Here is a 27,482-nt window from a genome sequence, read left to right as displayed (position 1 = left end):
TTCCTGGGATTATAGACTCATTTTTTTCTTTTGAAGAAAATGAGGCTCAGATAATTAATGTAATATTTCTCAGGTAATCCAGCAAGAGTAGTTAAATTTGGACTTGAACTCAGGCCTGTGTTACTTAAAGTGCCATATGCTTTTGGCCACACCATACTTTCAATTTTGCAGCTCTGACTTTCTAACACATCATCAATATTTATAGAATACTTTTTCTAGTGAAAGGGGTGGAAAAAAAGTAAGAACATATTTTGTTAATGTTTTCTTCTTAGAGTTCTGCTTATCAATCACTATAGCCCAACATTTCCCCAGTTAATAGCCTGTGTCTGCTTTCATTAAAATAGAAAGAACTGGTCTCTCTGTTTGATTTCCTGTACACACATACACCCCTCAGGTTTCCTATTTGTGTGTATCTGTTATAACATATACCATCAATAATAAGCCACTGCCTGAAATGAGAGCTAACAGTTAAGAATATGGACTTCGAGGGACTGCAGGGTGCCGGGGCTAGAATCCTGGCTCTGCCCTTCATAGCTGTGGTCACAAGCAACTTTTCTACATTCTCTATACTTCTGTTTCTTTATCTTTTTAATGACAATTATAATAGTACCTACATCAGTGGTTTGCTGTTAGGAATAAATGGATTAGTATATATAAAAACTAAAAGCTATGCTTAAAATGCTATGATAATTCATTTAATATTAGCATCATTATGGCTTATAATCTAACATCTATTGAGATAAAGATCTGTGATTAGCTCTGTCCTTGATCTGTTTGTGTTTCTATAAAGGAATAACTGAGACTGGGTAATTTATAAAGATAAGAGATTTGTTTGACTCACAGTTCTGCAGGCTATACAGAAGGCATGGTGCCAACATCTGCTACTGAGGAGGGCCTCTGACTGCTTCCCTTCATGGTGGAAGGGGAGAGGGAGCCAGCATGTGCAAAGATCACACAGCTAGAGAGGAAACAAGAGGTAGAGGGGAGGGAGGTGCCATGGTCCTTTTAACAACCAGCTCTCATAGGAACTAACAGAGCGAGAACTCACTCATTACTGTGAGGATGGCACCATGCTCTTCATGAGGGATCCACCCACGTGACCCAAACACCTGCCATTAGGCCTCACCTCCAACACTGGGTATCAAATTTGAACATGAGGTTTGGAGGACAAACATCCGAACTATAGCAATGAGGATATGGAAAAGGCATTCCTTTATACATTTTCTGAAGAGCATGTAAAATTGTACAAACTTTGTGAATGGTTATTTGACAATATCTATCAAAATTTAAAATATACATTTTCTTTATCCAATAATTCTGCTTTAAGGTATTTATCCTACAGATAGATTCATCCAAGTGAAAAATATACAATTTGTACCTTTTGAATTTTAGCCTGTGTATGTTTAACCTAGTCCAACATTTTAAAATAAAGATGAATGAGCATGTTTGCTTTTATTCATGTCCTTCCCATAGCCTAGCACAGTGCTAGGCACAGAGACCCTCACAAGTTCCCTTTTGTTTAGCTCAGCACACGTCATGTGGCTCTCTGTGCCCCATGACCACCTACCCTACATGTACCATGCACACTTTCAAATCATACACTTCACCCTGAACCATTCACTTCAAACCCCATTGTGATGACCATTGTACTTTATCCTCTTTCTCTTTTGGTTTGCCTTCAAAATTGACATCGTTTTTTCATTGCAGCTATTTCCTTGGCTTCTCTCCATGACGATTCCTGACTCGTGGCCCCGGCAATCTTGGGAAGACATCATCCAGCTTCTTCAGTCCAGACCCTGGGCACCCCCCTTTTGCCAGGATCGTCCCCACCCAGCCTGGACACATTGACTGAACTGTTTTCTAGGACACTGGTGAGTAAAATGCTTGGCTACTTCATGAAAACAGTTCCAATCATCCCCTCCCAATACCTTCTCCTCCACTTTTGAGCATGATTTTGTTTCTTTCAAAAGCGGCTCCAATACTCTTCCTTTCTGGAACTGCCTCTCTGTAGTTAATAACCCAAGGTTCATTATTTGTTTAATCACTGACTTATTCAATGAGGCGGTAGCCAGCGGAATCTAAGAACTGAAAGGCGCATGCCTTTGTCCCCCTCCTGTGTGGTTCCATTCAGGGTTACTTGTCTCTGACTTAGATTGGAGACTAAATGGATTAGAATAAAACCAATTTAAGGGAAAAAAGAAATGTTCACAGAAACAGAAATAGAGAGTCCTGCTATCTTGGCTGCCTAAGATCTGCAGGCCTCACCAAGGAATTTAAAAAGTAATGTTTCTTATCATAAGTGACAGAAATATGCTGCTTTCTGCATCAATAGATATGAAGATTAAAGGGTCTGACCGTATTAAACAATTTTGCACAGCACCAGGCACTCTGGGTTGTGCTCTCTGCCTTATTACCCTTCATCGTGTGGCTATTTCAGGCCCAATTTAAGAATACAATGCAGTCTGGCTTTGCAAATTGACATCCTTTAATTTAAACTGTCTTGTGGGAGAATTAAGAAATTATGGAACAATTATTCACCCTCAGTTGAAAGCTGGATGACATCCTGAGATTCTTGTACATTAGCCATTTGAATTGATTAAGTCACGTAATTGAATTACACCTTTGCCCCATAATATCTTGTGGCAAATGTGTTGGCGGTTCTTGTTGGGAAATGCTTCCATAAAAATAGAAGAGGGGTTGGTATTAGAGATTGACCTGGATATCAAAGAAAACCTCAGAGCAGAGTGGGCTGACACTCTGAGATTCTGTGAGGGAGGTTGATTAACAGAGCAAGCGTTTTATTTGGAGTTGCAATGGAAGTTCACAGATCAAAACTGTATGCATGATATAGTGTACATCCTTCCTTAATCTCTCTTTGCATTGTCCTTGAACATTCGGCTTCAGTGTCTGGCATTCATTCTCAAAGCTTTTTCTAGCATCTCCCATGGACAAAAAAACTGGGTTCGGTGTACCTTTCTTTGTCTTACATGGTTTTCTAAATATGCTTCCATTATAGTAGCTACCACAGTGCTGACAGGTTTCTTTCACCAGGCAAGGAGGCTGGAAACCATGTCCAGCTCACCTAGGTTGGTAATAGTGCTCAATAGGTGTTTGCTGAGTGAGGTTTTATTAGTAAGTCTCTATGGTTTTGTCTCTGTTTCCTTTTGTTTCATGGGGTGAAGGGAGGTAGAATCTGTTAGTAATTTTGTAAGCATCATTCTTAAGTAGGAGTGTTTTCACTACTTATGTTATTAGACAATTTTGTAGAGGGTTTATTAAAGGCCAACTCTATCTGCTTAACACCTATGAGGCACCTATTATGTACAAAAGCTAGGCTAGATGCTGAGGGGAAAAATTAGCCAAAACATATTTCCTTTTCCTTAGAGGAGCTCAAAATCCAGTGGGGGAATTGAAGAGGTCTGTGCAAGAAATAGCTCTGGTAACTGAGCAAGCACGTAGGAGGCTGTTCCATAGTCTAGGACTCTGAGAAGGGGCCATGGTACATTCCATTTCATTCTTCTCTGATGTTCGTACTGTCATTGGTCTGCCCTGTGCCCCCTCCCACATCGTCCATTTTGGAATCCAGCAGAGAAGAAAACTCTTAGACTCATGTCCTGTGGACAGGCTGGATGTGTGCCTTTCATTTAAAAACTCCTCTAAAGGAGAGAGGTTTTAAAGCACTGTTTCCCCTCACCCCACCCCCACACTGACTTCCAACTCTCTATCATACTGTGCAGCATTCTGGGTCTTCCTATTCTTTGTCTATTCTGTGTGGCACAAGAATCTCTCTTTTTAAAGGCTCTTTAGGTTTTCTTTACCTTTATCAAAGAACGCTCTTGGAGCTTTAAAACCCAACCACAGCTATCTTCCTGAATATTTCTGTGGGGAAGGGATTAATCAAGCCTGTCAAACATTGAGCTGTAAAACCTTTAATATTTCTAAAAGGTTTAAAGCCAGCATATTTATCACATGCATCATTGAGAATAATCTTTCCTTTTATAGAACAAATTAAATGTTCACTGTAAAATATTGTGGTGATGAGCACAGTGGGTGAAAGACACATGCAGGGGCCCAATGTGATATTGCAATGGAGATTCTGGTTAAATCTTTCCCTGACATCACCCTGCTAGAAGCCACCCATCATCCCCCACACATCTATTTATACGAATGCTTTATACTGTGGAATTCTAGAATCTTGGTGCTCAAAGAGAAAGGGGCTGATATTTGTTGAGTGCCTGCTATGTCACGTATTGTGTCTGCATAGTTTAAGTGGGTTTTCACATTTTAATTTTCAAAATAATCCTTTATAATAGGTACTGTCATATCTGATTTATAGATAAGGAAGCAAAGATTCAAAAAGTGAAGCAATTCTCTCAAGATCACATAAATATTTATTTGCAAATCTGGGACTTGACCCTATGCCTGGCTAATTCTTTCCTTCTGTTTATGTGGCAAATGCCTAGGAAATGTTTAGCAGAAGGTAGGTACCCACTGAAGAGTTACTAAAGTTATTATGACTGTTAGAAAGTCTCTGGAGATTTTTATTGAAAGATCATTATTCTACAGACAGAGAAACAGTGAATATTGTTGTGCCTGATTCTGAGAATCTGAGATGTCTAACCCAGCAGTAGTGGCAGTGTTCCCTAGGATAGGGAGAGACTCACTTGGGGCTTTTGATTACTCTAACTAATACAAACACTGTATTTTGTTATTTATAAACTGCTTTCATGTGCACAGTCTAATTTAATCTACTCAACAGCTTAGTGAAGTAAAGTCAGCATTACTGCCATTTTACAGATAGGGAAACTGAGGTGCAAAGACATGATAAATCATGCCCAGGTCATTCAACTAGAAGCAACTTATGCTCCAACTCCATTCTTCTTATTTCAAAGACACCATCTTTCTACTAATATTTTAAAACTGTTTAGTTATTATTCCTAAGAATTCAACAAGTAAAATAGAGGTTTTTATATTTTGAAATTTTATTGATATAAAATGTACAATTTCAAAAGAGCACTTTAATGGGTGTTTTGATACTGGATTTCAATTTAATACATTGATTTGGAGTCTTTTGCAAACATATTCTTTTAAAATATCTGAAAGAGTTATATGGTGCTTGAGCAAGTATCCATAAATAATAAGTTGTTCAGCTTTATTCAGTTGTAATTGACAAAAATATAAAGTTTTGAAGCTTGCAAGGACCTTAGAGACTGATGACTCTTGTTTTTCGATTCGATAACTGAGGTATAGACATTGAAAGTAGTGTGACAGAAGCCCAGGCAAAATACTGGGATAACGGAGAACAAGGATACATTCATTCCGATAGGGATGGGTGGTATGAAACCATGGAAGGCTTCACTGAGGAGGTGACTCTTGATGGTGTCCTGAAAAGAGGAGGATTTTAATAGGGTGAGAAGAGTCAACAAGTGAAGCTAGAACAGAAGAAAGGAATGACAGTGTATGAAAATGACAACATGATGGTTCTATGGGCGGGGGCCCTTCGTGGAAGCTCAAGTTTGTTGTTTCAATATAATTAGTTGTATAATTGCATTCCCAGACTGTCACATAGGGCTGCACACACATGTAATTAGACCCCCTACCAGCCAGACGGTGTCTTCTACACGCCTCCACTTTAGATCTCCAGCTTTGTAGCAGAGCAGGCAACCAAAAGAGAGGTCCTGAGGCTGGGAGGATTTGCAGTTCCAAACTCACCTCTTCTATGAGCATACCTCTCTGTGTTTGCCAAAGGTACTAGGGGGGGTAGGGGGGAGGGGGAAACAGACAAAAGACTTAGAAGGAGGAACAACTTTCTCTTCCTAGGTTACTATGAATACAATGGGCCCATTTCTGGAACTGTTGGGTGGGCGAAATGTTTCACCAGTTTACATTTAGCAAACTGTAATTAGCGTCAGCAGGAGAAGAGAAATGACTGTGTTGGGAAACTCCACTTTCCTCTGTGCAACAGCCTCTGTTCAGAAGGGCTGTTCCCTGCGTTTGGGCTTTTGTGATGGGGAAGCAGTGTACAGCTGCCTTATATAGTTGCAATGGGCTTGTTCTGGGGATGAAGCTCTTAACTGCAGCAGGGGACAGAGGCCAATGGAGGATCCTCTTCAAATGGCAGAGTGAATCCTGCTTAGGTGTCAGCCAGGTGGAGTCACTGGGCTCTTGTAAGGTTTCATTCATTCCATAAATACACATAAGCCCACACCCACATAAACCCTACTGTGTGCTGAAAACTAGGCTTGATTTTTAGGAGCTACAGATCCCCACAGGCCTCTGTGAAAGGGCATGCTGGCCAACCACAGATTAATGGCTAGATACACAAAGTGCCATCTGAGGCTTCTTAGTTTGGGGACCCTTGAGTGAGTAAATCGCATACTCACTGTATTTGTTAGGATGAGTAGTGCTAGTCGCCTTAACCAACAACATGATTTTAAAAAGTTCATTATGATACTTAATACAACCGTTCAGAAAGCTAGGTTTCCCCATCTTATCTGTGTCACCATCATCTTCAACATGTGGCCTCTAAGGTCTTTGAAGATGGGGAAAGAGAGAGGAAGATCATACTTGGGAGATGTTTAGGGACCATTTCTGGAAATGGCAGACAGCCCTTCCACCCATATTCCATTGGCCAGAATTCAGTTATATGGCCCAATTTAATTGTTAGGGGAATGTAAATGTAGCTTAGCTATGTGCCCAGGACAAAAATGACATAGATGAAGAGATGTCTGCACTCCCATGTTTATTGTAGCAGTATTCACTATAGCCAAGACAGAATCAACCTAAGTGTTCATCAACAGATGAATGGATAAAAAATGAGATATAGATACAAAATGGAATAGTATTCAACCATAAAAAAGAACAAAATCCTGTCATTCACAGGAAAATGGATACGCCTGGAGGACATTATATTAAATGAAATAATCCAGGCCCAGGAAGACAAACATCACATGTTCTTACTCGTATGTGGGGGCTAAAAAAGCTTATTTCATAGAAGTGGAGAGTAGAACTGTGGTTACTAGCGGCTGGGAAGGATGGAGGGAGGAGGGAATAGTGAATTTGGTTAATGGATACAAAATTACAGCTAGATAGGAGAAAAAAGTTCTAGTGTTCTACAGCACTGTTGGGTGACTATAGATAATATTTTATTGCATAATTTCAAATAGAAAGGATTTTAAACATTCCCAACACAAATTAATAATAAATGTTTGAGGTGAGAAATATGCTAAATACCCTAAGTTGACCATTACACATTGTATACATGTGTCAAAATATCACTCTGTACCCCATAAATATATATAATTATTGTGTCCATCCAAAATAATTTTAAAAAGTGAAACAGACATAGTCTTCCTAACATGTTTGATTAAGCTCAGTTCCCATTCAAACAAATGCAAGATCATCTAAAAGAATTACCCTTTATTACCATTTTGAGGAGCCTTTCCAGGAAAAATGCTCTTCCAGTGTAGAATGGAACTCAACCAGTGAGAATTTAATTAACACAAATTGTCTGGAAGTGTCTGAAATGACTTCATAACTCTTCAGTCCAGAATTCCTCTTATGGTATTCGATCCTAAAAATAGAAATAACAAAAATTTGTGAATAAAAATTTGTTTCCACGTTACTTGCAATGTTGACAAAAGGCAAACAATCAAAATTTCCAAAAATAAGAAAAAGATTTTACTGAAGTTCTTCACACTTAAATAATGCAGTCATTAAATAAAACATATTTCTAAAGAATTTTTCATGTTGTTATTGACATATGGACATAAAGATAGGCTTCAGAGCTTTATATACAACAGGATTCCAATTTTGTTCCAAACATATGTTTAGGTGTGTAATTATAGACACCCGAAAAGACTAAAGACAGTGCGTTAAGATATTAAGAGTGAACCTCTCTACATAGCAGGATAATAAGGGTTTTTATTTTTCTCTTTATATTTTGTTCTTCTAAATCTGATACAGTGATGAGTATGTGTAACTTTTGTAATTATAAAAAATAAATCGGCCGGGCGCGGTGGCTCACGCCTGTAATCCCAGCACTTTGGGAGGCCGAGGCGGGTGGATCATGAGGTCAGGAGATCGAGACCATCCTGACTAACAAGGTGAAACCCCGTCTCTACTAAAAATACAAAAAAAAAATTAGCCGGGCGCGGTGGTGGGCGCCTGTAGTCCCAGCTACTCGGGAGGCTGAGGCAGGAGAATGGCGTGAACCCGGGAAGCGGAGCTTGCAGTGAGCCGAGATTGCGCCACTGCAGTCCGCAGTCCGGCCTGGGCGACAGAGCGAGACTCCGTCTCAAAAAAAAAAAAAAAAAAAAAAAAAATAAATCAATTAGGATTTTTAAAAGATGAAGCAGAATGAAGAATGACTTTGGACTAGGACTGACTCAGGATGGAGAGAATTATCCCAAGTGCTTCAGGTGGGAACAGCCAAAGGGTGTGTGTGGGAATGTCCTAGAATTGTGTCATATCCAGAGAGGGAGCTGCAGGGTGGGGAACAGAGTGTATCATAATGGTCAAGACTTACGCAAACTCAGGGCGCCCACAACAATTTCCTTAGCTGGGACAGAGGGTACAAATCTTAACTTTAGTTGGCTTTCAAAACTAGGCAACTGAACTGATTAAAAAATTCAAAACTGGGGCAGTGGGTTCAAGTCCTGGCTCTTCTAATAACCAGCTCTGTGGCTTTGGGCATGTGTCTTAACCACTCTGAACCTCATTTGTAAAAGAAATAATACCTTCCTTATAGTATCACTGTGACACTAAATGTAATCATATTTTCAAGTATTTAACACATGTATACATATATCTATACATACATATTCACACACACATATATACACACACACCTAGACCCTTCCCACCAAGTTTGGAGGGGTGCACTTTGGGATAAAGCCCCTTCCTCACTGCAACTTTTCATAATCCTCTCCATGCTTCATTTCCAATCCCTATCCCTATCCCCATAGTACCATTACTAGGACCACCTGAAGTTTTAGCCCAGAGGCATCTCCTCCCTGTGACCTTCACCTGCAATTTGGAGATATTCCTCTTGAGAAGTTTCTCCTGTCTTCTTTTCTTGGTGAGTTCAGTTTGGCTTCTAAGCAATCGAGGCCCACTGTATGTCCAGCCTGCATGTCAACTAGGAGAAACGTGAAAAATCCTAAACTAAATGTTCTAAGACAAATATCCAAGCAAAATAATAGAAGGCAAAGGGATTATAGGGTACCGTCAGATGTGTCTGGGTGAGAGGGCACTCGGGCTGTGACACTGCGCAACGCTACAGAATCAGAAAAAAAGGAAATGCAGCCCGAGACGCTGTGACTTCACACCCTGCTGCTTCAACATGAAGTCCTGAATCATTTTCCCAGTTCTGTCTGAAGCCAGCCTCAACAGATCATCACAACAATCACCTTACGTGATGAACACATATGTGTGCCAGGTACTGTGCACAAGATTGTCACACCTGATACATCTGGCTTTTTCATATCATCGTGTTTCTTCCAGTGGGAGTTTTGTTTTTCTCCTCAGCTGCCTCCTTTTTTTATCCTTCTGGGGACATCGTTATTTATATGGCTACTAAACTGAGTAAAGATGCAACAGGAGTTCCTAAGAAGGTACTATCCAGATGTGTTATGGTTGCCTATATTCTCTTTCCCTGCACAGTTGAAGAGGACAGGTTGGCTGATGAATTGGTGGGTCCTTGAACATTCAGCCTAAAGGTCTTGAGCTTAGTTTAAATAGTGCTCAGTGACTTCTAACAAAAAAGAGCAAGAAAGAAAATTCTTCTGTTTCCAGCTTAGAGACTTTCCCAAATTCGAGGCTGGTCACTGATTTATGCTGCCAAGAAGCCTGTTGCTGATTATGCTGGATGCCCCATAAATTAATGAGAGCTGGACTTAGCAGTGACAACGATCGCTGAGTCTGTGGAGCAGAAAATGCAACACTAATATATATGTTTCAGAAATGTCCTTTTGTCTATATGTTTGGAGGAGAAAGTGCTGATGAGGATCAATTTCATATTGACTTTAAATTTTTCATTTGACCCAGATCTCTTTTTATTAAGTAATGCACATGAGAACATTTCATCCCAGGCCAACGTGATGGCTTGGAGAATTCCCTTCAGAATACGGCAACCTGGATAGAATTTGAAATGCAGTTCATTCATTTATTCTTTTATTCATCCTTTAATAATTATTTATTGAGTACCTGCTATGTGCTTAATTCTAAAAACTATGCTAGTCTGTCAGCAAGACACAATCTGCCCTCAAGGAATCTAAAGTCTAATGAGCTAGACACACATTAATAAACAATCCTGTCCCAGAGCAGTATGTTTCATTAGCAGGAAGTGCAGGTATAACGGAAGCACAGAGGAAGGACTCCCAGAAGGTATCAGGTACTTGGGAAGCATTTAGTTCTTGTTGAAAGAATGAATGAGTGGATGAATGAATGAATGAGATGGCCCTTGAGCTGAGTCGTAGAGCAAGGTAGAAATTGATTAAGCTGAAAAAGAGCTGAAAAGAGCTATAAGCTGAAAAAGAGCATGTTCAAAGGCAGCAAGGTGTGATGTTTTAAATATAGCTCAGGTGAGAGGGGAGACAGGAGGTAGGGCTCCAGGTAGTCAAGAACCAGACATAAGGAACTTGGGCATTAAGTCACCATCTATCTGTGCAAATAGACATACTTGTAGATGGCAGAGCGGACCCAGGGGGCCTTACACCTCTTCAGAGAGCAGGCATAACCACACAATAAATGGTTCATCTGGAGGGATTATCTTCAGTGCTTAGTTTGGAGATTCAGTAGGTAGTTGAGCTTGCCCTCTCTGGACACTTTCCTGAAGAGGCAGTCCAGAAGAACCAAAGCACTTGCTCTGAGAAAGTTTCAAAGCCGGGTTCACCATCTTAAACTAAGCAGTGAATGTTTCTAGAAGCATGTATCCTGCTTGCTACAAATCCCTGCTGTGTCTTCAGTTTTGTCTGAATGTTGGGACCACGTTGTGAAATCTTGTATTTATTGCCTTCCTGCACTCTCTTCAGCTTGCATTTCCCACATTCTTAGTTACTGTCTGTATGTTTGCTAGTGGTGCAGTTTTGTTCTGTTTTAACCTTGTTTGAACCCTCAAGCCAGTCTGGGAAAATGTGACCATCACTCTTCTGAGCATCTACCTCTGGGACGTGGTCCCAGGGCTTTGACTCACAGGTTAGAAATCTTGTCATGCTCCCCTGAACTTGACTCAATGGCTGCAGTGGCCTGGCTGATTTATGGCTGTTTCTTCCTCTGTTTGATCTTAGCAAACAGACAGCTGTGATGTAGCAGCTTCATTCTACTCACCTGCTGGCACCTTCATGTTTGGTCTAATAGCTTGTTAACTGCTCTGAGGACAGGCACTGCCCTTCCTGGCTACCGTCTAGAGTGGTCTCTATGGCAACCACATCACATCAGGGATGATGCTCATTCTTCAAGGTTTTCCTTCTCCATTTTTCTCTGGTGGCTTCTGGGTAACCTGTAATGGTTGGAGCCCTGCCTCACCCTGCCAGGAAGCCACAGCTGATTTAAAGCCTTGCAAAGAAACTTAACAAGACACACTGCTTTCTTTTGGTCTTGTTGCTTGTTCTGTGTTGCACTTGGTCCAGGCCTGCAGGGACTTGTCATCCCTTCTTTATCATCTCTCTTTTTGGTGTTCCCCAGGTACTGTTCACAGTCTCTCTTGGAAAGCTTTGACATGGTTTCTCCAGATATCTGTGTTCATTAATATCATACAGCAGTCCCATCTGAATCCTGACATTCGGTATGTTCTTTGCCTCATCTACCTTTGTTTACTCATTCACTCTTCTCTTCAGCAGTGACTCCCAAGCTCTCTGGTCTTCATCTGTACCAGAGACTTGTGTCAAAGAGACTCATGTAGACTGTTCAGACATAATATATGAAGAAAGAACTGATTTATGTGTGATAGGACTCTAGAGTGTTCAGTCTGCCAATGGCATTCAGAGTCCAGCAATAATAGTATTAATAATAGCAAATACTATTATATACAGTATTTATATACAATAACTGTGCATAAATAGTATTATTGTGATAAGAACTTTACATCTATACAATAATCCTATAAGACGAATACTCTTATTGTCCCCATGAGGAAACTGAGGCACAGAGGGCTAAGAAACATGCTGTAGAGCCCCAGCTATTAAATGGCAGAGCTAGAACTTGAACTCTGGCTCCAGAATTTATGCTCTTCAACCCTTTGCTATACATTGGGCAGCGAGATTGTTTTCTGTACATGTGGTCCCGCCACCAGTAATCACTTACTTCTGCAAGGCTAAATTGTACCCATCTACAATTTCAAGATTAAATGCCACCTGCTTTGTGAAACTACTTGGCTTCCTCTACATTCAAGATGTAAATTCATTGGTTCATTCAGCAAACATCAAAAGATAGTGATTATAGCTTATTCATTCATCTACTCCAGTACAAGGTTTTTTCAAGTTCTTTCAATGTTACCTTGCTAAGTGCTGTGGCTATGATGATGAATAAGGAGCAAGCAGACCCTGCTCTCACCCTACTCATTTTTTAAAAAAGAACAAGACAACAGAATATAGAGTTAGCTTTATGCATATAAATATTGATATCTCAGTAATATTTATATATCTTTGTTTGTCTTTCAATTTATTGATCAATAGATATTAAGAGATTTTTCAGTCAATTCCTCCTGCCTGTTTATATGATAAAGTTCACCTCCTTAGCTTGACACCTAAGACCCTTTATGATCTGGCCTTAGATTCCTTTACTTAGGAATCTTATCTCAGATTCCTCTACAGTCTCCATCTGGAGGCTGAACACTGTAGAGTCCTATCACACAAAAATCAGAACAGGGGGCTCAGTTCTTGCCTCTTGTTCTCTAACCATCCAGTCCAGACCTAGTCTCCCAGAAAGTGTTTACTCATTGGAAACTATCCAGGCCCAATCACACCACCCTGCTTTGGCTCAGCCTTTTTCTGTACTTCAAGTTCCCTTTTCATACTTCCCATTTCACATTTCTTCTTTTCCAAACCCTTTCCAAACATGAAGTCCAGGTTTAAACATCCCTTCTCTATGGAACATCCAAAATCATCTTCTTATTCACACTCCCGTCAGTGAGGAATTAATCAATCCTTCCTCTGGGCTCCACAACACTGACCATACCCCTCTGGTACAGCAGCACCTCCAAACCCAAGGCCAGCTGTCCGTTACATGTTGTTCTCCCAATGGGGACTGCGGACCCCTTGAAGATGAGGAATGGGCCCTATTTCTTGCTGCATTCAAAGAACCAAGCACAGTGACCAGTGGGTAGTTATCTTAGTCCATTTGAGTTGCTATAACAAAATAGCAAAACTTAATAGCTTATAAACAACAGAAATTTATTTCTCACAGTTCTAAAGGCTGGGAATTCCAAGATCAAGGCTTCAGCAGATTTGGTGTCTGATGAGTATCTACTTCCTGGTTCATAGATATACCTCTCACTGTGTCCTCACGTGGGAGAAGGGATGAGGAGTCTCTTTGTGGCCTCTTTTTATAAGGGCACTAATTCTGTTCATAAGGGCTCCACTTCCATGAGCTAATTATGTCCCAAAGTCCCTGCCTCTTAATACCATCACATTGGAAATTAGGTTTTAACACATGAGTTTTAGGAAAACATATACATTCAGATCATAAGAGTGCTAGACTTCTATTATAGTATTTAACTATTAATAATAATAACTTTTAAAGTATTTGATTGCCATCTACATCTGGCATTCTGATAAGCATTTCATTTCATTTTATCATAAGAATCCTACAGTGTAGATTATGATATATACAATTGTTAACTCCATTTTACAGATGAGGAAGCTAAGGCTTAGAGACTATACAATACCTGCTCCAAGTCACAGTCCCCTAAATAGCAGAGTCTGACTGGATACCCTACACTTTGGTGTCTGTTGAATGAACAAATAAACTTACATCTTGAGCACAGAGAAAGGAAGTGATCTAGGAGAGCTGTCACTCCTGTAGTGCATATAGTTTTATACACACATACCCATACATGTATACACTCAGTTATGTAATTCAGTTCCTAAATATGGAAAAGGAAACCACAGAAGGATTCTATAAAATTCTGATAAAAAGACCACCAGTTGCAAGCTGCATATTTTTACTTTTTGAAGAAGCTGTCTTTGTGTTTAGGTGAAGCTGTTGACAAACCTAGAGCAAAACTGTCTTTTAGATGCTTATAAACCAGAAGGGTTAGAGGTGGAGTCCATAAAACCTGTTAGGATCCCAGCTTTGCCATGGTTTCTATGTGACCTTGAGCAAGACACTTAACCTTGCTGAAGTTTAGCATAGTGATTGATGCGCAGGTTCTACAATCAGATGACCTGGTTTAAATAACCCAGCTCTAAGCTTACTAGCTGTGTGATCTTCGGAAAGATAATTTCTCTGGGCTTCAATTTTCCCATTTGTAAAATGGGTACAATGTAGTAATAACATTTATCTCATATGATTGATGTGATAATTAAATAAATCAATTCACTTGAAGGATTTAAAACAGCACCAGATACCCATGAAACTATTATTACCTCTTAGATAGTTATACCTCTTAGATAGTTATATCTATTTCTGTCATCAGATGTTAGACATAATTCCCACAACATCAGAAGACATTTCTGTCATCAGATGTTAGATGGAGAATACACACCCCTATCTTTCCAATCCCTTCATTGGTGATGAGGAGGAGGAGGGTGATATTGCTGCTGCTCCTCCAAAGAGGCAGGGATCCTGGTATATCTCGTTCACAAGGAAAGCCCATGGCTGGCACTTTTAGGTGCTTTATGATTATCTGTTAAAGCTATTGTCAGCCATTTATTGAATGGTTTACTGTTTTGGGGTGCTATACTAAACGCTTTTCAAATATCATGAGAGTCTGCTTTGCAATTGATAAATTCTCCTTGCCAATGTCAACTCTTTTGTCTTTATCAGGATCACCCTCTTTTACAGATGAGAAAATTGAGACTTGGCAAGATGTGAGTTTGTCAAATTGTCAAATTGGGATACAAACCGATATGGTTCTGTCTCCTAGTCCAGTGTCCTTTTCTGTTCCCCATTCATTCCAGATTATAGTAAATTTTGTCCAAATCATTTACTCATTTAGCACATTTACTGAGTATGTGCTGTATGCCTAGCAGAATCTGGGACCAGCCTCTGCCTCATCATGCTCAGTTATTTTGCTCTTACTATATACTGTGCATTCTTATATGCATAATATAAATTCATTTTTCATAACAGCTATGTGAGTTGATTACTCCTGCCCATATTGCAGATGAGAAAACTAAGCTCAGAGAGGTTAAGTGAATTTCCCAAGATCCTGTAGTGGAAAGTGCTAGAGCTGAGATTCCAGTACAAGTCTATGTAATGCCTAAGTCCATTGTCTTTCCACCCATCACATTAAATGCTTCCTCCATCATTCTCCAATAAAACGGCTTCTTAGTTGTATTCCAGCCACCTCCCTATTAGGCTGGCCCCATAACTCTATGCAGCCCCAAGTGCAGAGCCTAGAATGAGGCTGAAGATGTGTTGGCACTCACGGACAGGACCAGAGTTTTCCACAGCAAATACCTAGACATACACATAGGTCTAGGCTAACATTTATTGAGGGGCCTAATATTTAATGTATGCCTCCTGTATGCACCTGGCCTTGCATATGCCACTTAGATATAGTATATTTCATCCTCATATCAAACCTGCAAGGTAGGTATGATTGCCCCCATTATACAGAGGAGGAAACAGAGGCTCAGAGAGGGTAAGTATTTTTCCAAAACTCATCCAATTTGCCTAACTCCAGCACATTGTCCATTCCTCCAGACAGCTTCAGAGAGAGTTTGACATAGTCCGGGAAGAACTTAATTGAAAAAGATGCAGCCCAAGCTGCACCTTGGAAAACTTCTCATGCAGCCAGGATAAGTATACTGAGAGTCAGTGAACATGTTATGATAGTTATGATTAGGTTTCCATGTACTTCTCAAATCAGATGTGTAAATATAATCAAGAGCATTTCTCTTTGCAGCACAGACCTCCAACAGATTCTACCCAGCATCCTAGTTCTGAGAGAAGTAATAAATTAGCTCTAATTAGCTTTCCCACATGCTGAAGCAAGTTTCTCTCGTCACCACTTTGCAAACAGGAGAGAGGGAGACTCCATTGGACTTCTAAGGAGTGTGGTCTGTGGTAGTTAGGAGGGTAGCAGGCCTAGCTGGCACGTGACTTTGACTTCTATTACCTTGTGCGGCTGTGGACAAGCCATTTTTATCCTCTGGCCTTCATTTTTTCCTTATGTAAAATGAGGAGCTCAGAGTAGGCTTCTTCTCCTCTTTCACAGAAAGAGCCCATGACTCTACTGTCCTGGAGAATTTTCCAGCTTGAAGTGTCAACTTTGTTTGTGCATGAATAGAGTTATTGAGTACCTACTATTTATCAGGCATTGACCTTGAAACTGGAGATACAAGGATGAACATTAACTTGGTTTTGTCTGTAGGAAACTTCCATTCCAAAGTGAGAATAATAATAACAGCTACTCATTCCTAAATGCCAGGAACTTAGCCATGGCCATTAAATACATTATCTCATTTAATCCCTGCAGGTAATTGTTGTTACCTGCATTTTACCCATGAGGAAATACTCTCAGAGACGAAGGATAAGTCACTTTTCCTTAGTTTTACTGGCAGTAAAGGATGGAACTGTAATTCCAATTCAGAGTCTGATCTCTTATCTACTAGATTATATTACCTTGCCCATAAAGAGTTGGATATCATAAAAGAAATAGAGATAACAAGTCTTAGGGAGGCCAGGAGATACTGAGATTTATTCCATCTGGGTGATCAGGGATAGCTTTGGTTAAGATGGTGTTTGAACAGAACCTTGAAGGAAAAAAATCTTGAAGGCATCAAGATGCCTTCTGAATACATGAAGATGGAAGAAGAAAAACAGTTTAGGTGGAAGAGTCAAGACACAGAGGTAAGAAAGGAAAGCACTGGGTACCAATAAGGAAGAGTGTGTTGTATAGAGGAAGCCTAGCAGAACATGACCCTGGGCTCTATGCTACATTCATTCAAAGGGCATAAAGTGCCTACTATGTGTCAGGCACCGTGATAGCCTCTGGGAATAACACTGAGAACAATACAGAGTCCACATCCTCAAGGAACTCAATAGTCTACTGCAGTGGTTCTCAACTGGGGGCAATTTTGCCCCCCAGCTGACCTTTGGAAATGTCTAGAGATAGATTTGTTTGGGCTGTAAAATATCCTAAAATACACAAGACAGCTCTCCACACCACATAATTGTCTGCCCTAAGAGGTCAGTAACTCCAACGTAATGACAAGACCAGGCCAGCTCATGGGGAATTTTGTAGGCCAGGCTGAATAATTTGCCCATGCCTTTTTCAGATCAGATGGCCTCTGGCAACCAAAACAGCAGAAGTGACAACAGGAAAATCTTTCCATTGCAAATGACCTCCCAGCACGAAAGAAATCAGTCTAGTTGCTTAAGCAATTTTGTTACAGGCCTAGAACACCCTGAAAATGCTCTCCTACCACCCCTGGTTCAAAACCACGCAGAGCTTATGAGAATAAATGGCACACCAAAAGGAAATGTCAGATGGCTTCTTCCTTATTAATCAAATTAATAGTGCCTCTGCAGAAATTCTGCATAGCTGAGGAATTTATTACAAATTACCTAATCACTTCTTTCTCCCATGAAAAGTAAATAGACTGAACCATGCCTAGCCCTCTGATCCTGAGTATTTCAGTGTACCAGAGCTGGGCTGGAGCTTTTCTACTAAGTTAAGCAGTATTTACTGGACCTAGCTAGCGAGTATCACTGTGGTGGAACTTTACTGCATTTGAAAATGCAAGTCCACTTTTCATGGTTATCTCAAGCACACCCCGTGCCATTCTGCTTTTCTAGTGCTGGTTAAGAGGAAAACAGGGATTCATTTGTGGCTGTGAGGAGACTTCAGATACCAGTCCAAGAAAGAAAAGATAATGACCAGGGCACTCTGCAGCATCACAGAAAGGGCACTGGATTTGCAATCTGGTGTGCTTGTTTGACTATCACTTCTGTCCTTAGCTGTGCAAACTTGGGCAAGCCATTCACTTAACCTCTCTGAACCTCCGTGTCTTTATCTAGAAAAATGGAGAGCCCTGGAATTATTCAGATTAATTGTGGAGAGGCAACGTGGCCACACCTAGCACAAAGCAAGCACTCAGAAAATTGTAGATGATGATGTCAGGTTGTTTTCCTACCCAGATCTAGCTTCAGAGATGTGGGTTGTGGCAAAAAAATGAGGCTCTGCTGTTGCAGTTTAGTTACTTTTTTGTCTATTAAGGGAAGAAGAAAAGGGAAATTCCTTGCAGACTAGCAGCTTCTTAGCAATTCATACAGTTCAGGCAATGTCTCTGGGTCCAGGCAGAGGCTGGCAAGTGAGTTCTTGACAGATTGGAGGGAATAGGAAGAAAAATCAATTAAAAGGGCTTTTCAGTGAATGAGGGGTGGCAAACGCCAGGGTTAATCCCAAAGGGAGACCCATATTTCCCTAAGAGGCGAGGCCTTCCCTTTAACCCATTGGCACCACGAGTTGGAGTTTTCCGGGGTGAAGTCCATTACTGGCAATGGGCGTGCCGTGTGTGATTAATGACCGTGGTTATGGGCCAGTTAGCAACGGAGAGCTCCATCCATCTCACTTCATGGAAGCATCACACACCATTTATTGTCTGCAGGCAGGATGTGTTCCTTTGCAATTTGGTAAATGCCTTCTTTCTGAGTAGGTGTGGTGATTCCTGCATTGGTGCCCCCATGCCTCCACCTGACATCCAACAGAAAGGCAAAGGCTGAGAGAGCCCAAGAGGAAAAAGGTAGTGACCATGTCCAGTGCTATTTCATGACCTCAAATAAACTTGGCCCAGGAGCTTTCACCTGCTCTCAGCTACCTTCTTTCAAGGGGACATTCAGCCCAGGGAGTTCATAAATACGATGACTTTAAAGTCCATTCAAGGGAAAGAAGGAAGGGCACAGCATGTTAAACACAATCCTGTGCTCATTTTCTGCTATTAAAAGAAAGCCTTCAAAACTAATCTTAAAAATAATACCTGTCATTTGTGGAGTGCTTCCTCTGTGCAGACACTGTGCTGCCCTCATAAGAGCTCTGTAAGGCATGCCCGAATCATCCCCATTTACAGTCAGGGAAACTGAGGTGTCAAGAAGAAAAATAACTTCCTCTGGGTTAGATAGCTGGAAAACACTATGCTGAGACCCTCAGTCCTGCTCTAGAATTGTACTCTTCACTAAGGTGCTGTACTGAAATTCTGTCTCCATAGAAGAACATGAACCAGCACTCAAAGAATGACAAACTACAGATACATGGCCTTTAGGAAAACCCACCACACAAGAAGAAATGGAGAGCATTAATTTACCCCATAGTTACTTATTGAAAATCCACTATGGTCAGACATCGTGCTAAGTTCTGAGGATGTAAATGAATAGGAGAGATGGTCTCGGAGTTCACCCTGTACCTGTGAAGAGGAGCGGTAACAGTAACAACAGTGACAGCTGCTATTAGGTTGGTGCAAAAGTAATTGTGGTTTTTGGCATTAATGTACAGCTAATACTATACTAATTATTTTGTATACGTTATTGCATTTAGTCTTCATCATCAATGAAGAATGAGTCATAATTATCTGCATTTTATAAATGAAGAAATAGTGGCAAGAAAAGTTTGTGTCCCCACAAAATTCATATGTTGAAATCCTCTGCTCTCATGAATGGGATCAGTGCCCCTATGAAAGAGACCACAGGGATCTAGCTGGCTCCCTCCACCATGTGAGGACACAGCTGGAAGGCACCATCTTTGAATCAGAAAGCTAGCTATCATGAAACACCAAATCTGCTGGCGCCTTAATTTTGGATTTCCCAGACCCCAGAATTATAAAAAATATTCTGCTGTTTACAACCCACCCAGTATATGGCATTTTGTTGTAGCAGCTCATAAAGAATAAGAGAGTTTAAATAACCTGGCCAAGTTGATACAGCCAGTAGGTAGTAGATCTATGCTTTGAATCCACGCAGTCTAACTCTAGCTTGTGCTTTTAAAATACTGAACAAATAATTACAAATGTGTTGAGATTTCCTGAGAGCACGGCCGCGAGCAGATGGGGATAGTGAGGTGATGATGAGCATTTAGAACAGGAAGGACAAGTGCAGCCTTGGGGGAAGAGGAGAGAGCCAATAATGAAGAGGTGGGAGAGTTTATCATGCCCAGTGAACCTGTTTGAGACCATGTTTGAGACATAAAGGCCAGTGTTGCTGGAGTATTGACACCAAGAATGGCATGATTTGAAGTTGGGTGTGTGGCTCAGGGAGACCAACATATTTAGGGCCCAGTGGGCTGTGTTAAATTTCATCATATGGACCTTAAGCAAGAGAGGGAGGGGCTATGCCAGAAATAGCTAATTATCCACCAAAAAGTTGTGGTCTTCATTCTATAAAGTGCAGTTGTCCCTAGGGGCAGCTGTCTCAACAAGGACTGCCTTTTCTAGCTCCTCTCTTGTTTCCCAAGTGCATGCACATGATTATTTATTGCCAAGAAATGTGAATGGAAGTGACATGTATTGTTCCAAGGCTGAGGTTTTGAAGAGGCAGATATGCCTTTTCTGGTTTCTTTTTACATTTCTACTCCCTGGAAGGAGACATCTGTGAGCCCCTAGGTGATGACCAAGCCACAAGATGAAAGAAGCCTGCCTGGTTCCCTGAATCACCATTTGGCACACACCTCCAAGTGTACGGGATTTATTTGCAAACAAGAAGTAAACTTCTACAGGAGTAAGCCACTGTCATACTGAGGTTTATTTGTTACAGTAGCTAGCATTAGAATATCTAATTACAGGGACTTCTTTGGTATTTTAAAGATATCTTTATATAGCACTTTCACGGTTTACAAAGCGTTGTTTCATTACGAATGAGCAAGGAGGGGCTGGGTAGAGTGGTTCACACCTGTAATCCCAGCATTTTGGGAGGCTGAGGCAGGAGGATCACTTGAGCGCAGGAGTTCAATACCAGCCTGGGCAACAGAGTTCGATACCAGCCTGGGCAACATAGGGAGACCCTGTGTCTATAATATAAATAAATAAATAATTAAATAAATAAATAAATAAATAAATAAATTTTTTTAAAAAATAAGAAATTAGATACAGTACACATAACTGTGAGGTTAAGTAACTTACCCCCAATCATACTGCTGGAGTCTTCACAAACCCATGCACCCTCACTTGCCCACTGGATGCGCATAAGCTCAGGATCAAAAGTCAAGCAGTTCTGATAGATTTGAGTCTCTTCCTCAGCTAATTATTTGCTGTGATTTTTCAGCAACTTATGTAGTTTGTCTCTATTTCCTTAGCTATAAAATGAGAATGACACTAGCTCTTATCTTATGGAGTTGCTCTAAGCATTAAAGCTCATAGTCAAGATCATGGTACATAGAGAAGTTTTAATAAGAGGAAGAAGTTATGTTATTGTTATCACTACACCATTATGGAAAGACTTACTTTAGACTCCTACCATTACCCCCAATTCCCTAACAGGCCTTGTGTTTCTTCTCCAGAAGGGAGTCATCTTCCCCAACATCCACATGACACATGCTTGGTTCACTCAGGTTCCTACTCAAATTGCTCTTCAGAGGGCCTTCACAGACAATGTCAAATAGGCCCCTGCCTTGCCACCCACTCCTTACTCTGCTCTCCTTTTTCGTCCTAGCACACATCACCTCCTGATATTATAGAGTTTTCATGTATGTATTAATGTCCTATCTCATTCCACTAGAATGGGAGCACTTTGACAGCAGGGATTTTATCTCTTGTTCAGAGCTGTATCTCTGGCATCTAGAATAGTCTCTGGCATAAATTGGGAGCCCAATACACATTTGATGAATGAATAAAGGAATAAATGATGATTGTATCACATGTGAGCTATGTTCCAGGCCCTATATTAACTTCAGTTCTTGTTGTTTCTTTTTCTTTGGTGATGCCCTAGAGGATCATTCATCAATCCAAAGCTTATGTGCAAATTTTATTCTTTTTCTCCTCTTTAAATGCTACCCACTCCACCTCCAAGATCTCTTGTTTCTAATACATTTCCATAACACCTCTGTTCCTGAGACATGAGATCCGTAGCCTTCCCAGATTGGGTGGTGGGCCCTGGCCTCAGTGCCCAGCCATTCCTTGTGGCATTCATTACCAACACTAGAACACACACACTTTCACACCACCCAAGTTGTCAAAGCCTACAGATGAGAATTATCACTCAGTAAACTTGACTGGACTACAGGGCCATCTTGTTATATGATCACTTTTCCACCAAGACTTTTAAGTTCTATTGGCGTATTTGATGTATAATAAACTGTATATGTTTGAAGTATATAATTTGATGAGATTTGATACAGGTATACACCTGTGAAACCATCACTACATTTAAAATCATAAATATATCCATCATAGCCCAAAGTTTTCTTATGTTCCTTTATAATCTAACCCCCCTTACACATCCCCCATACACACCTCCCCCATACCCAGGCGACCACTGGTTTACTTTCTACCACTCCAGTTAGTTTTCATTTTCTAACGGTTTATAGAAATTGAATCATATGTATAAAATCTTTGGGTTCTTTATCTCAGCATAGCATTATAATTTACATCCATATTGTCAAATGTATTAATAGTTCCTTTTTATTGCTATTTAGTACTTAATTGTATGGATATACTATAGTGAGTTTGTCCACTCACCTGTTGGACACTTGACAAGTTTCTAGTTTTTAGCAATTATCACAAAGCTGCTACGGTCATTTGTGCACAAGTCTTTATGTGGGCATATGTTGTCATTTTCCTTGTATAAATACCTGGAAGTGGGATTGCTGGTTTGCATGATAGGTCTATTTTCAACTGTTTAAAAAGTTACTGAACTCATTTCCAAAGAAGTTTTAGCATTTTACATTCCTTCCAGCAGTGTGAGAGTCTCAGTGTCCCTGTTTCTTGCCAACACCTGGTTAGTCTGATTAATTTTAGTCAGTTTAGTAGGTTGTAGTGGTATCTCATTATGCTTTAGCTTGTAACTTCCTAATAATAAATAAGTGATTTTCAGCATCTTTGAATGTATTCGTCATCTTTATCTCTCCTTTGGTAGAATTTAGATTTTTAAGGAGTTATCTTATTTTAGAGTTGTAAGAATATCTAAAAATATTTTGTATAATCCAGAAAGAAGTTCACATAAATCTTTTTCAAATATTTTCTTCCAGCCTGTGCCTTGCCTTTTCAATTTCCTTTCCAAGTTCCCTAAGCGGAGCAGTTTTGTTTCATTCTCCCTTCGTATTCCTAGAAACAAGAACACAGCAATCTTTAACATTGAAAACGTTATGTAATTTCAGTTCAATGATGAGAAAAGCTCTAACTTTAAATACTTCATAGCCAAGCACATGAAAGGTGACTGTTTCCTCAATTTACCAATCTGCAAAATCAAGATAATATTGTCTATTTCATGAAGTTGTTGTGAAAGGTGACTTTGTTTCCTCAATTTACCAATGTGCAAAATCAAGATAATACTATCTATTTCATGAGGCTGTTGTCAGAATGAATAATAGTGAATAAATTACCCAGACCCGTGCTTAGCATATAGTAAGATTTCAGTAAGTAATAGCTTGATTTTATTCTGTAATCTTAGGGAACAGAAGTGAGACCAAAGGGTAGAAATCTTAAAGATTCAGATTGTTTGAATTTAGTGAATTATTTTCCATTGTAGTCAATTAATGAAATAAAATGGGCACCCATAGAAGTTGCTGAACTTCCCATCACAAGGAGCATTTAAGCAGAGAAAGCATAACCATGTGAGCAGGTTATAGAAGAGATTATTGCTACCTTCAGAGAAATACTGGACTTCTCATGTCTCTCCTATTCCTGAAAATGGTTTGGTTCTTGGTAGGAGATAATAATGACAATAGCATATCTTCATATTTAATACATATTATATATTATAGTATTTATAATACATATTATAAAATATACATATATACTATGTTATATATAATACTAGTAATTATTGATGATATAATATTGTGTGAAGCACTTAAAAACTATTCTATTATTTAATCATAATGACCCTTTGAGATAGAGGTAAATATTAGTTCTATTTAATAGATTAGAAAAATGAGTTCAGAGGTGTTAGGTAGCTTCCCTAATAGTACATGGCATGGAAAAGGAGGGCCTTGAATGCAGGTTGGCAATGGACTGAAAGTTTCTGTCCTTGTAGAATTCATATGTTGAAATCTTATTCCCAGTGTGATGGTATTTAGAGGCAGGGCCTTTGCCAGGTAATTAGGTCATGAGGGTGGAGCCCTCATGACTGGGATTAGCACCCTTGTAAGAAGAGGCTAGACAACTAGCTGCAATCTGTAACCCAGAAGAGGGCCCTCATCAGAATCTGACCATGCTGGCACCCTGATCTCAGGCTTCCAGCCTCCTGAACTGTAAGAAATATATTTCTCTTGTATGTAAGCCATCCAGTTTATGGTACTTTGTTATAGCAAGCAAGAAAGTACCATAAACTAAGACAAGGTCCGTCTGAGTAAAGTCCATGCTTACAGCCCAGGTGCTCTGTGGCCAGTGAGCCCCTGCTTACTCATAGCTATGGGCGAGTGCTGCTGAAACAAACTTTTCTCCAACACCTGTGTCCCTATATTCTCTTGCCTCCCCCACCCTCGGCTGTAGCATGTCTCTGAGTCAGTGGGAACGAGTATTTACATCTTGGTCCACAGCTGCAGAATTCCACTGCTGTTTGCTCAACAGGTCACCCCATGAAGTGGCCAAAAACCAAGGCTGCCATGCCCGAGGTCAGCTACCCAACTCACTCTCCACCTGGCAGTACCAGCTGGATCTCAGCTTCTTGAAGAAATGACATTCACCATCTCCAGTTGGAATAGGTCTTTCCTGGGCTTTTCCTTCTGGCATATGGAGTGTTGATTTGTTTTGGAAGGCCTCAAAAGTGGCAGCTTTCTCATCACACAGCAGGATGGAATGTCCCCATTTGGTGCCTGTCCATCCAGCCCACAATATTTATGCTGTTATTGCAAAGCTGTTGGCCCCTTAGATCCTAATCATCCAAAGACACTTTTGTGGCTTCTTAAAAAACTAGGCCTGTTCTTCTGCAAGCAAGTGCCTGCCTCACTGCCATCCTGATTACCAGCTCCTGTTGGCAAAAGAACCATTATGATGTGAACCAGATTGTACCAAACAGACGTTACCTAGCAACCAGCGGGAGCCATCAGGATTCATCCTTGTGTTCCAAACACTGTGTGGAATTCCTTAAGCATCTTGGACACAATGGAGACTAAAAGCATGCCATGAGGGAGCCTTAAGAGAATGGCTTTGGAGTCAGGCACACTCTTATGCAGTCCTGACTCTCAGTGACTACCGTGATCTTGAGCAAGTTACATAACTCTCTGAGCATCAGTTTCCTAACCCAGGAAATGGAGAACAGTAATAGCACTTACTTCATATGAGTGTCTCAAATGTAATATATGATGGAAAGGATAATCTTTCATACTAAGTAGGCATTCAACATATGTTAGTTCCCTTGAAAATACAATTTTTTTTCTATGTGTTACATTCGTGAAATACACAAACCCAAGCATCCAAAAGACCAGGATCCAGTTACCCATATCCTGTATTAGTAATTCACTGTGTCCTTAAGGAGGTCTCTTAACCTCTCTTTGGTTTATTTTCCTCATCTATACCATGGGGACAATAATAAGTGTTGTTCAGGAGCCCACATGAAATTAGGGATATGAAAAAGCTCTGAAGATCAGAACACAAATGCAAGAAGTGACCTAAGTCTATTGCCGATAGTATTTTCACTTGAGAGGAAGTTAGCAAAACTGAGAGGTTTATTAGAGGTCTTTGTCTAATAGTAGCTTTTACCTTCATCCAGGTATAGTCCTGGTATTCACAGTGGTGCAAGAGATATTTGAGATACATTGAAGTCCATGTGTTCCTCACTCGCTTATTTTTTCCCTTCAATCTCTCTGTTGATTTCAGGAAATATATTCCATCTCAGATACCAAGAGAGCCCATTATCAGGAAAGATGAAAATGTTTCAGGGAATGTAGTTAAACTAGTTAGTCTGGAAAAATTAAGGGTAGAACGAGCCAAAGGATGAATGAGAATTAGACAGCATTGTGCAAAGTTCTCAGATTTTGAAGTGAAGTAAAGATAGGTTCAAGTCCTCCTGGTCTACCACTTTCTAGCTCTGAGGAATTGTTAAGCCTCAGCCTTTTCATCTGTAAGATGAGCATATTATGATTTATTTTTGCAAGGTTGTTGAAAATATGGGGGGTTTCAGTGAATATAAAGTGCCTATTACGGCATCTGGCACATAGACTATCTACAATATAAGATATATATTTAAAAATAATTAATAAGAGCAATAATAATAACATATAGTCAGAGGGATACGGAGCCCAAACAAGAGGAAAGGTTCCAAATGTTTGGTCTGAGCAGCAAATACGAATCACTAATAGGAAGTAAATGCAAAAGGTCAAGAGGCAGGGAGATGAGAAACAAGTCAGCAGGCAGATTGATGGAGACAAATAATTTGGGGTCTAGGTTAGGAAATAGGTTTAGGTTTTGTAGCCCCAGCTGAAAGGTACAGACCAGAAAAGCCATCTCGGCTGCTTAGGGAAGTTCTGTTCTCATGCTTTTGTTTATACAGGCCATAGCTTTCTCCTTCAGGACTCAAACGACAACCCCCTGCAGAAGTGCCTGATGGAAAAATAGGTTCTTAGCAAGAGGAGAGGCTGGGATGCTCCGGGCACAGGGTTCTGACCAATGGCAAGTCTGCATTCCATACTTGGAATCGCAGCTCTTGAATGTCAGAGAGTGGGATTTCCCTTAAGAGTTGCCCATGTGACTAAGTACCCCTCAGGTTAGTGGACTGAACTGTTTCCCCAACTTCAGTTTCTTTGTAATCAGGTAAAATCTCAGCCCATCTAGAATGCCTTTTGGCCATTGTCTCACTGACTTCTTACCTCAGGGAGCCCAATTTGAAGGAGTTGCTGGAAGCAAAGAGAGAGAGTTTGAAATGAATTCAGACAGTCAGTTGTCAGCCAGAACTTTGGTGGGGGATGTTTCCCTGCTTGCTGACTGTGCTGGCTCCCTCAGCCACCCCCTAACAAGCACCTGGCCTGGCAGAGTTAGGAGGTGGAGTTCTGTGTCTGTTATTAATATCAATGATAATGGCTTTTTTTTTCTGTTAAATCTGAGTACTAATTATCATCTATCTACATCACAGAGTTCAGGGAAATCACAGAGCAGACTAAGAACAATACTACATATGGGTGCCTTACTTTGCAATAAGCTGGCTCTAAGAAAAGTGGTGTGGCATTCATCTGT

At 40.4% G+C, this 27,482-nt stretch overlaps 1 protein-coding gene and 1 long non-coding RNA gene across 8 annotated transcripts in view; one reads left to right on the top strand and one right to left on the bottom strand.

The window, feature by feature from the left end:
• The window catches only part of DAB1 (DAB adaptor protein 1), a 1,551,949-nt gene that overhangs the window by 660,857 nt on the left and 863,610 nt on the right, over positions 1 to 27,482 (top strand). For all 4 annotated transcript variants that reach the window (NM_001379461.1, NM_021080.5, NM_001379462.1 and 1 more), the window contains one exon: positions 1,708 to 1,871. The gene's annotated coding sequence lies outside the window, so the exon portion shown is untranslated. The remainder of the gene's footprint in view (positions 1 to 1,707; positions 1,872 to 27,482) is intronic.
• DAB1-AS1 (DAB1 antisense RNA 1) lies at positions 22,654 to 25,289 on the bottom strand. 4 transcript variants are annotated; one of them, NR_104362.2, is made up of 2 exons: positions 24,837 to 25,289; positions 22,654 to 23,414 (listed from the first exon to the last, which is right to left on the bottom strand). It is a non-coding gene; the product is annotated as a DAB1 antisense RNA 1 (long non-coding RNA). The 4 variants fall into 4 exon arrangements; NR_104363.2 differs by having other exon boundaries at positions 24,951 to 25,289; NR_104364.2 differs by having other exon boundaries at positions 24,961 to 25,289.

This window comes from Homo sapiens, chromosome 1 (genome assembly GCF_000001405.40).
Source record: "Homo sapiens chromosome 1, GRCh38.p14 Primary Assembly".
Classification (NCBI taxonomy): Eukaryota; Metazoa; Chordata; class Mammalia; order Primates; family Hominidae; genus Homo; species Homo sapiens.
Note: the sequence above shows the minus strand (reverse complement) of the source record. Positions and strands in the feature narration are given on the sequence as shown.